Raw genomic sequence first — 12,660 nt, 5'->3', positions numbered from 1 at the left:
CTGTACAGGACCACATAAAAAGTCCACAACTCTCTCAGTGTGAAAGGCCTTCAGGTATTTCTCCCTGGCTGGTGTGTCCCCTCCTCCTCACTCTCATCTTGCCTGGTTTTGTGACTACTCCTTCTGTGCTGTTATTCCTTGCCTTTGGCTTTGCACCTATCTGGTGACCTGGTTTTGAACGTGTTCTTTCTACAGGAGGTCAAATACACCAGTGGTCTGGAATACGGGTGCCTCCAGTAATATACAAGGACTTTCCAAAAGATATGTCAAGGGAGGTTTTAAGTAAGTCAACTTCCAGATCCTCAACTTTTATGTATAGTTTTTCCTAAAACTAACGTTACCTGAGAGAAATCTCATTGAAAAGGAACAAACTCTTATTTCTCACTTTCTCTTTTATTTCTCCCTTCTTACAAAAAAAAAAAAAATACGTGTTTCTTTTCTAATCTTACCAAAAGTGCATGGCCCAAGGGCATAAAGACCTCAAGGATGCCAAACAGAACTGGAAACCATTTGTGCCTGTCACTAAATTTCCAATACTTCTCTCTCAGCCACATTGAAGAAAGATTTAATTGAATTGACAGTTAATGGATCATTAAAAGTAATTTTTTATTATTAGGTTGGGTATACATCAGGATTTTAGACGATTGAGAAATCTTGCTATAACAAAACTTTTTTCCTTCTCATCTTATTTACTAAAGAAAATTTTAGTGTTTTTATTTATGAAAATTAAAACTAGGAATAGAAATTATACTGAACCCTTGTCTCATTCTAGCAATACGGGGGTATCCACAATTCAATTGAAATAAAATTTAATTGAACTAAAAAAATATATATAGTCCCAGCCATCTTATAGGAGATGCAGTTTCAATAAAAATTTGTCTTTTTAAATTATTTATCAAAATACATAATATGTTTATGTTATTTTGACCAATTGGTACTATTAATAGTCATAAAAATAATTCAGTCAGTATTTTAAAATTTATAGCTTGATGGCTAGAAGAAAAAATTTAATTAAAATATCACTGTATATACATATTTTGTAGCAGAGAATCATGATATAATGGTCCATAACACCTTCATGCATAAAATGTATTACATAAAGATAAAATTCACTGGGGAAAGTGGTATGGAAAATGACTTCAAAAGAAAAATAAATAAATGATGTAAACGTTCAGTCTGTTAAAGGAGAGTTTGTTTGTGTATCTTTAAATAGGTGATGGTTGATATCCAATCAGTATTTAGATTCCATTGAATGCATTTTAAAAGGTGATGTAACAATTTTATTTAAAAGTTCAATACTTACAATATTTTATTTAAAAGGTCAATATTTACAATATGGTGAAAATCCATCCATTCAACTACTCTATTTATACTTTAAATCTAAAAGGGGATACTAAATCTTTCAAAATTCTCTTAAAAAGTATATGTGAGCAAACTTTGAAGAGCACTTTATATGTTAAAGAGAGAAAGAAACAACACTCATTTCCATTGTCTGTCAAGTATACAGTAGGTGCTTAATAAAAGTATGTTAAATGGAGGAAGGCTAAAGCCCTTTGTAAATTAAAAATCACTCTATAATGTCGGTAATGCAGCATTGTCACATCGTGTGCCTACATAGGTCATCATAAGAAATCTCATAGATTTGTTTCAAAATGAGAGACTAGCCCAAGCCCTATCCTTATGCATGGTCTTCATCACTTTCACAATACCCTGACAGACTTCGAATACATTTTGCTCTTTGAACCATGTACTACAGCCGATTCAAAACTAAAAGTATCAAAAATAATATTTCTACCAACCACAGTCCAGTGCTGAACCTGATACATTTTAATTCATTTACCTTATTTAAAAATATTTTCTGAATCAAGACTCAAACTTGAAGTCCCTTGATGTGTTTTCTCCGTATGATTGTGGATGCATATTTTATTGATTTTGCTGCAGGAACAGTAATTGCTAAATTGGAACTCCATGAAATGTGTGCATATACCCACAGCAGCTTAATTTATTTAATGGTTTTAAGCTATTTACAAAAAGTGACTTAGGTTTTTTGGCTAGCTCCCTATATTTCTCCTTTCTTTCTCATTCCAATAGTCAATTGAGTCTGGTACGTTTCATTGAGCATATTTGAATGTAGGGCAGAACTATTTTAATGGCACATTTAGTGTCCATTTGTAATAATGTTTTTTGTCATTAAAATGTACACTAGGGAGGGCCATGACAAGAACACTAATTACAGTCATGCAGAAACTGGTATGAAGAGAAGGAGGTCCACTCTCTCACACCCTGTTCCAATTTTTCACCAGCATGCTGACCTCAACAAGACCTCCACTCCCTTGATCCTTCCATTCTCTGCTAGTCCATCAGCTCCCCCTGGTTTGATTTCCTTCCCTACTGAGCCAGGACCCCATGGTGCAGCATTTCAACCTCTTTCTTGTCAGCACCTTTAATTTCCTTAGCCCTTTGCCTTCTGCCACAGACCCACCCTCCCTACCCCCCAAGCCCTGCTAACCTCCAACTCCAGATTCCTTCAGTAATCCATCTTGTCTATGCCATGGAGACTGCCACTGAGACTTCTCTCCAGCACAGCTGAAGAGAATCATATGACCCTTCAGATTGGTGCCACTGCAGTTCTGATCTCAGCTGAATTCTCTACACCATTTCTCAATCTGTCCTGAGCCAGCTCCCACTCACATCTTCCCTCATGGGCTCTTCTGAAACCTGGCTCCATTCACTGTAGCAGATGACCCTGCCCCACATTCTGAGAGAAGAAAGTATGTGGTCCTTTTACTCAGCCAAACTAAAGACGGTGATGGGCTCTCCGACCCAGTGGACCACATGACTAAGGATGAACACAGGGTGGCAGGCACCACTTACTATAGAACCAGTACCTTCACCAGAGAGAAACTATCGTAATTCACATGCAAGAAAAGTGTGAATGTCAGCCAAGACATTTAAGGACCTGCTAAAATCAAAATCCAAAACCTAGTGGTTAACCCCAGGTGCCAGGTAAATAACCTTGTGAACCAAGGGATAAAGTCAGAATGGAAGAGGATGAAAAAGACTAGAAACAAACAGCAAGGAAAGAAAACAGAGAAGTGGGATTGACAGTAAGAGATAGTCAGGAGAAGGTTTTCTTAACCCAGGGTTCGTGCTTAAGAACTCAGGGATTCTATGAACTTGAATGGGGAAAACATTGTGGTTTTATTTTCAGTAATTGTTAGCAGAATTTGAGCATTTCCATCATTAGGAATGCAGGCAGCATATGGTGATAACAGCGAAATCTGTGATTTTGTCACCGAGTGAAATCAGTGATATTTTTGTATTCTATTACAATTGTTGCAGATTTCTCAAAATATTATTTCCATTTGTAATTACTTCAAAATTATGGTAGTTATTAAACACATTACTAGATCTTGTTATTTAATGTGTTAGTAAAGAAGCATATATATTACTATATCGCTAACTTTGTAAATATTTTGCTAACCACGTTACAACATAATTGATTTCCTTTGTAACTCTATGTATTGCATTTTATGAGTCTCAATCTAACATGCATGGATCAGATTCATAAAAAGATGTCATGATAGGATCAAAATTCAATAGCAAAAGCTTCAACACTTTACCTTCTCTTCCTCACAATGTACAAAATATGTCTATATCCATACTTAAGTTTAACTTCCTTCCCTCTTGTTCAGAGAGAAGGTATCCAACCTCTGGTTAATCTGATCCAGAGAATTGTGCCCCTGGTTCCTTCTGTCATCCCCTCCAGAATTGTTCCCTTCAATTACTCATCAATTGTTCCTTCTACATTGTTCCCTTCTTTTTGTCTTAATAGAGATTCCCCCGGTGGCCCTCATTCTTTACCCATTCATTTTTCAGTGTTAACAGTTACTCTACTTACTCTTTATTCTCCTTCCTGTATTTATAAAAGATTTCTCAACCTCAGCATTATTGACATTTTGGGTTAGATAATACATAGTTGTTGAGAGCTGTGCTGTGCACTGTAGGTGTGTGGTAGCATCTCTGGTTTGTATCCCCTGGATTCCAGTAGCACATCCAGCCATCAAAATCAAAGATTTCTCCAGACACTGTCCCATGTTCCCTGGGAACCATAACCATGCCTGGTTAAGAGCCACTGCCTGAAACACTAGTCTCCGTTCACTCTGCCCTCTTCTTCACCTTGCCTTCACTTGCTGTCTCCCTGCAAGCTTGGCTCCACCTGCACCCCTTTACTAAAACTATAGATCCTTTGATCTCTCATTACATTCAAGGTCCTAATCAAACTGAAAGCTTCTACTTAATTGACTTCTTTGTACAATTTGACCATGTAAGCCACACTTTTTTGTTAGTCATCGCTCTCTCCTTAATTTTCCTTCAGGACAATTTTGCTCAATTCTCTTTACTGACCTCCCTTTCTCCACAATGGCTTAAATAGCTATGTTCCATGGGGGGTGCCCACCATACTCTATTCCCTAGGCAATCTCATTATCTCCCATGGCTCTATCACCTCCTTGTTCAGGCCAACCCTGCTCAAGGCTGAATTCAGTTTCTTCTTTCACAAGACTGGCTCCTACTGTAATATTTTCCCAACCCAAATGTTCAAGCCATAAACTTAAAAATCAGTCTAAATATCTCTCTCTGTATATGTATTCAGGCATCAAGTTTTGGCACATCTTCTTGCAAATGTCTCCCAAATCCAGCGCCTCCTCTGTCTTCATTTCCTTCTGTTCTCATTCAGGCTCTTATTATCTTTTGCTTAGATGATTGTATAGCAGTTGGCAATCAGTCAATTCATTGTTACATGAAGAAGTGAATGAATGAGCAAACTGGACTCGACTGTAGTCTCATTACCTCTGTTTCATGCTACACATAATGGCTGGGGTCCTTCCCAAACAACAAATCTGACCATATCTTTCCTCTGCTTAAATTCCTTTAAAGATTCACCATTATCTGTAGAATAAAATCCAAATTCTTATATCTCTATCCCCTAACTACCTTTCCAGCTTCATGTCCCGCTCCCTACTATTTTTGTGTGTGAGACAGAGTCTCACTCTATCATCCAGGCTGGAGTGCAGTGGCACGATCTCAGGTCACTGCAGCCTCAACCCTCCAGTGCTCAAGCTATCCTCCCACCTCAATCTCTCAAGTAGCTGGGACTACATGTGCGCTTCACCATGCACACTACTGTTTGTTGGTTGGTTTGTTTGTTTTTTGATAGTGACAGTGTTCTACTATGTTGCCCAGGCTGGTCTTGAACTCCTGGGCACAAGCAATCTCAAAGTATTGGGATTACAGGCTTGAGCCACCATGTCTGGCCTCATGTACCATTATTTCCTTAATAATAATAGTGATAATGATATCTCACATTCTGATCACTTACTACATCTAAGGCATTATTCTAAGTTCTTTAAATTGACTATCTCATTCTGACCCTATAAAATATTTACAATTAATTTTCTCACTTTTTTATCTGAGCATATTATAACACTTAGCACATTGTATTGTGAAACACTTAGCACATTGTATTGTGAATACATGTGTGACTCCTCCACTAGTCTGTGAGCTTAGGCACCAGAGATCTTTTCTTTTTTATCACTGGACACACAGAACTCAGCACAATGCCTATACACGACAGGTACTCAATCAACACTAAATGAATGAATAGACGGATGATGCTTAATAACATAATGATGATGAAGCTGCACATAGATATGGCACCTTTTATACCAATAGATCTCAAAGTGGGGCAACTCTCAGTTTCAGTGAGTGAGAAGAAAATTCAAACTGGCTCAATCTACAAGTATTTGCTGAATGTCTGCTACAATTAACTCTTATTGTGTTGGAGAAGGTAAAAACTAGGAAATGCAAGGGCAACTCAGAAAGGGTTCATGACAATACCAGGTGTAGAACCAAAATGCAGATGATATGAAATGATTAATAAGTGAGTACAAACCTTCCCTAAGTCATTATCAGGGCTTTTTCCTCTGTATGCAGTGCTTTGAGCAATCTATTTTCTTGGCTTATGCTGTGTACCACAGCAGTATGAATCATATCACAAGAGGCAAAGGAAACTAACCATACTTTGATTACCTTCATGTTTAATATGTCCCCTTTGTGTAGCATTTTCCACTTTGAATTGTTTTCACATATAATATCTCACACAGTTGGTGTGATCTCTAGAATTTTTGAGTTAAAATAAAACCTTGAAAGATTAATCTACGCTTCTTCAAATTGGAAAATAATGAAAGTGAGGTCCAAAGCCTTATATGATTTTCTTGAACCTCAATGCCCTGTAAGATTATCAGGAAATGTGCAAATAGGTAAAAGTTAAAAGATAGAAGAGGGTCCACCAGACAAATATTACCCCAAAGAGCTGGTATAAAAATGCAAGGAGAACTAAAAACTGAATTATAGCATACAAGTAAGGGGAGAAGGTTATCAGACGTAAAGTATTTTAAAGCATCTATACTGTTAGTGAGAAGGATAAAGATACTGATTAAATTTAGATTTTGTTAGGTTAAGTACACATGTTAAAATTTTTAGAGTAGATTTTCAGCTCTTTCTGTATTTTTGTTCTAAAACTAAGAATTTGGGGAGGAGCAAACCAGGGGGACTTACAAAGACCCAGAAAAGGTTATCAGAGCCCAGGTAGAGAAATAAATGGTCTAGATAGAAGGATAGTCCTTCTATATGGGAAATTAGAGCCACAGTGAGGTAAGGAGAACATCCATGCAGAGGCACATGAGAATGTCCATATGGGGTCTAGAAGCTAAAGGTAAGAAAGGCATCCCAGCAGAGAGGTATCTCAGGACTGGATATCAGAGCCTGAGCAGGGTGAAGACAGCATTCATCGAGGGGGATAGCCCACCATGGGAGATCAGAGCTGAAGCTGGGAGAAGGGGGTATCCATACCAGAAAAGGACAGGAAGAGGATGTCAGAGCCTGTTCAAGATGAGGAGGGCATCTTTGCACACTGGCAGCTTAGCATGGAAAGGAAGGAATATAATCAATCTCCCATCACGAGCACTTCCTTTCTAAGGCGATGGGAGATTGATTACAAAGATTGATTATACAGAAAGTGATTAGTAAGTAAACGTGTAATAAAGTTAATGGGAAGCAAGCGTCTCACAGTCAGAAGAGACTTATAAACATGGAAAGAGTGAATGAACTATTTGGTGTTGGATTGGAATTGAAAGTATCATTACTAATCACAGTTTTTAACATGCAAGTAAATATATAGAGAAAAATAGAGAAGTGTGTGAATATATGTCTATGAGGACTCAGAGAAATAAATGAGTTCATTATTGGGGTAGAGAGAGTACAAGATGAACCTGGAATAACTTAATTTGTCAGAAAGCAGAAAAATGTTCAAAGAAGGTTGGGGACATGTCAAAAAGACATAAAAGCCAAGTTCAAGAGGCTCCCACTGACCCCACTGGGTACAACCACAGTATCTAAATAAGTGTTGATAATGACAAATACATCCCATTGGAAAAAAATGAGAAACCATGGGTCCATACATAAAATAATACTAAATGGAACGTTTGATGGAATATAGAGTTTCAAAGCACTTCCCACTCATTATATACAAAGTGGAAAGAATAATTACACTAAAGAAGCCTGGCAGACACCACCTTAGTCAAGTGAACATTATCATCAGTAATTGGACAAATCAAGCTGCCATGCCACCTGATAGGATGCAATGAGAAGAATCACTCCATGTTATTCCTGCCAAAGATGTATAACCTGAATAAAAATGCATAGCCTGAATGTGATCATGAGGAGGCATCAGACAAGTCCAAATTGAGGGGCATCCTATAACCTTCAAAAGTGTTTAGGTCATGAAAAACAAGGATAAACTGAGGAACTGTCCTAGACTGAAGGAAACAAAAGTAACATGGGAACCAAAGTAGTAAGTGAAGCCAACCTGTGATCCCGAACTGCATCATTTTCACCTAAAAGACATATGGGGAATATCTGGTGGTATCCACCTGTGAAACTTGGATGTGGTCTGGAGATTTGATGGTAGTAATGCATCATTGTTAATCTCCTGATTTTTGATTATTGTGTTGTGGTAATATAGGAGAATTTCACTGCTTATAGGAAATACACACAAAAAAATTAGAAAGAATTGGGCATCAGGTCAGAAATTCACTATCAAATGCAGAGGAAGAAAAGTTCAATTGATGCAGAATGAGAAACTTCCAAACTAGCAGAAGGGGGAGAATGGAATGAAAGGGGAAAAACTTGTATCAATTCAAAAATGGTTAAAAGAGAAGAAAACAGAAAAAGTGGAACAAACAGTACAAAAATAAATAAAAATAAATCTAAATATGTCATTACTATGGTAAAAGCGTGGATTGTCAGATAGGATTTAAAGGAAAATATTGAGCTATATGCTATTTAACAGAGATATGCCCCAAACCTAAAGGCAGAGCATAGCTTAAAATTAAAATTTTAAAAAAGATGTACTATGAAAATACTAACCAAAGAAATTATTTTCATTGTATTTCCAAAAAGTTAGAAATCAATAATAAAAAGATAGCTTTGAAAACCTGGTAAGTTTGGAAATTCTGAAATGCCCAATCTTAAGAACTTTTGGTCAAAAACAAAATTCTAATAAAAATTAGAAAATATTTACACATATAATAATGGAAATATTCTATATTAAAATTATGACAATACAGAAATTAGAGAATAATTTAAAGGCTTAGAAACATATACTAGAACAAAGAAAATATAAAAATTAATTATCTAAATGGGCCTCAAACTTAAGAATTTACAAAAAGAATAGAATAAGCCAAAAGCAACTCAAATAAGTAAAATTATAACAATAATAAAAGAAACTAATAAAAACAAACATACAAATATAAAGACTAATGTAATCAACAAGTATCTTTTGAGTACCTATAGGAGTCAGGCATAACTCAAGTTATCATAGAAACATCAATGATCAAAACAAGCCAAAATCCCTACCCTTATGTACTTTATGTATAAATGGCTTGAAATATATCAGAGGTAAATATTTTTAGATATATAATAAAGTCATAAAGACAGTACAGAGAGTTCCTCTATATCCCTCAGCTAGCTTCCCAAATTGTTAACATTTTACATTACCATTGCCCATTTGTCAAAACTGAGAAAATAACACTGTTACACTGATGCTTCTCCACTTAAGATGGGGTTATGTCCGAATAAACCCATTGTAAGTTGAAAATATCATGAGCTGAAAATTCATTTAACACACACCTAAGCTACTGAACATTATAGCTCAGCCTAGCCTACCTTAAATACTCTCAGAACACTTATATTACCCTATAGTTGGGCAAAATCAACTGGAAACACAGGACCCTAGAGGGTATTGGTTGTTTTTTCTCATGATCATGTGGCTGACTGGGAGTGGTAGCTCACTGCTGCTGCCCAGCATCTCAAGTGTATCATAGTGCATATCACTAATCCAGGAAAATTTCAAAATTCAAAGTTCTAAGAACAGTTTCTACTAAATGCATATTGCCTTTACACCATTGTAAATTCAAAAAAACTGTCGAACCATCCTAAGTCAAGGACCAGCTGGATCGTTAATAACAAATCCCAGATTTTATTCAGATTTCACCTAATTTACCTATAAATGTACTCTTTCTGTTTATTCACTTTTATAGACTCCAGCTCTCTGTTAAAATATATCATGTTCCTCTGTTTTCTTGAACATTTTAATACTAGTTATTTAATAGTCTATGTCTAATAACTTCAATTTCTGGGTAATTTATGGTTCTGCTTTTATTATTTATTTTATTTCTTAATTTTCATCAATTTGATTTTGTTTCTTGATATTCTTGGTGTTTTGGTAATTTATGACTACATACTGGACATTGCATATGACAACATTTAGGTTCTGGATGATATCCAAACCAGAAAAGATTTCATTTCTTCTGACATGCAAAGTAAATGCAGATTATCTTGTTCCAGTCAAGGCTATGTTTCTGTCATCATGAAGGCCAATCTATTTCTGGTTTGCCCTTATTTCCAAGTTTAGCCTTTAGTCTTGAAATTTAACTGTTGAAGGAGCACAAATGAAAGCTTCCCGTGTTCATCTGAGCCACTTCACCCTTGCAGGTCCTAAACTTCAACCTCTTTCATCTTTAGCATGGCAACACTGCCCAGGGCAGTTGCCTTTATACAATTTTACCTACCTGTCATCTACCTGTCCCAATCCATCTGTAGTGGTTTTTTTTAATTTTTTTTTAATTTCCCATAGTTTTTTGGGGAACAGGTGGCATTTGGTTACATGAGTAAGTTCTTTAGTCATGATTTGTGAGATTTTAGTGCACCCAACATTTGAGCGGTATACACTGAACTCAATTTGTTCTATTTTTTACTTTTTTAAGTTGATGCATAACAATTGTACATATTTATGGGGTACAGAGTGATGCTGCAATACATATAATGTATACTAATCAGATGAGAGTAATTAGCATATCATCATCTCAAACATTTATCATTTCTTTGTGTTGACAACATTCAGTGTCCTCTGTCTAGCTATTTGAAACTACATATTATTATTAACTATAGGCATCCTACAGTGCCATAGAACACTAGAACTTATTTTTTTCTAACTGTAATTTTGTATTATTTAACAAACCTCTCCCTATCCCCTCTTTTCCCTACTGTAGTGCTTTTGTTTTTTTTTTTGAGACGGGATCTCACCCTGCTGCCCAGGCTGGAGTACAGTGGCGGGATCTCGGCTCAGGTAGTTGCATGTTTCTAAGATATTTATCTGTATTCTTTAATCATCACAACAAACCCATGAGGCAAGTATGTGAGTCTTGTTCAGGGATTTTGTTAAATAATATGTTTCCAATATTTGTCTGAAACATAGTGCAGTAGACATACAATTAATATTTGTTGAATTAAGGAACTCAGAGAATAATAAAGATGAGAATGGGAAAAATGAGAAACTATTTTTTTGCCTATCAAACTGAAAAAGATAATAAAATTATGGTACTCATTTTCAAAAAGGACCTGGTGAAATGAACATATTTCCATATTTTGTGTGATAGTATATGCTGATATAGCCCTTTTAGAAGGGCTATTTACACGTTTGTGAAACACTTACTAAGTATCCTATGGTGTATCACATGTGCTTTGGCATTGTGACATCAAATGTCTTAACATGTTTCCTGACCTCCAGCATCTTTTTGGAAACATATATTAGCAGCTTTAAAACTATTCATTACCATTTCTTTCTAACCAAGTGTTTAATAATTTCAGTTCTGGAACTAAATCCTAAGAAATTAATCAGAGATATTTTATTTCATTCATTTATCTAATGTATTGAGTACTTAGTCTAATAATAACAACTAACACTTACCAAGTGCCTTGGGCAACATAACGCCGTAATTAAGAGCATGGACTCTGAAGCCAGATTGCTGAGGTATTTTTAAATCTTGGCTCTGCCACTCACTAACTCGATCCCGGGCAAAGTCACTTAACCCAACTATGTCTCAGTTTTCTCATGTGAAAATGGAAACAATGATAATTTGGTTGTGAGGATTAAATGAGTTGTCATTTATAAAGTGCTTACAACAGTGCCTGGCACATATTATGAAGTGCTATATGTGTTTTTGTTTTAATCATGTGTTAGCTTCTATTCTAAATGTTTTACTTGTACTAATTCGTTTAATTCTCACAGCTACTCTATAAGGTAGGTACTATGATTATCTTTATGTTATGGGCAATAAAATGGAGCCTAAAGGAGGTGGAGTAACATACTCAAGTAAATTGTTGAGCAGGATTTAAACCCAGGTTGACCAGCTCCAGAGCCTGTGCATATAATCATTAACCTCAATGGCATTCCCAGCACCATTGTAGGCATCAGATCACTGTACAGCTAGAGTTCCTATTCCCAGGAAGGCAAGGATGATGATAATAAAGAGCAGGTAAGAGTAATAAAGGAGTAAGATAATTTTAGGTTGTAATGAATGCTATGAAGAATACAAAATGAGTAATGTGCTAGAATACAGCTGGCAGGGACGCACAACAGCATTTGATAGGGAAAAGAAGTCTCTTTGAGAAGGTAACATCTAAACTCAGAAACTAAAAGACCGGGACATATGAAGATAACTGGTTTATATAAATGGAAATTCTTCACTGCATTATTAAAAAAATAGTGGGAATAAACTAAAAGTCCAAAATAAATGAATAATTTATTATTACAGCATATTCCAAAGATGACAGCATACTAACTAGCCATTAAAAGTCTAAGAATATTTTAAAATACAGGAATATAATACATTATAAAGTTAAATGAAACAAGTAGAAATTCAAATACACATATAGTTTAATTTCTATTTTATTTACTATATATATACACATAGGGAAACACGTATTTATACACTTTAAGCAGATCTACGTATACATAGAAAAGGGGCTGGGAGGAAATATAAGAAAACATTTACATCGATTAACTGTTTAGTGGCAATATTATAGAAAATATTATTTTCTTTGTCATATTTTTTATATTTTATAAATTTTCTAGAACCAGAAAAGAATTAATGTTTTTACATAAATCCCATCAACAAAAAATATCTATGAACAGAATTTTAATTGTTTGTTGACTCACAATGCTCTAGGAATTTATGTATTATCTTACTTGTGTATTTT

Source organism: Homo sapiens, chromosome 4, assembly GCF_000001405.40.
Source record: "Homo sapiens chromosome 4, GRCh38.p14 Primary Assembly".
Classification (NCBI taxonomy): Eukaryota; Metazoa; Chordata; class Mammalia; order Primates; family Hominidae; genus Homo; species Homo sapiens.
The sequence above is the reverse complement of the archived record's forward strand: the minus strand, read 5'-3'. Positions refer to the sequence as shown.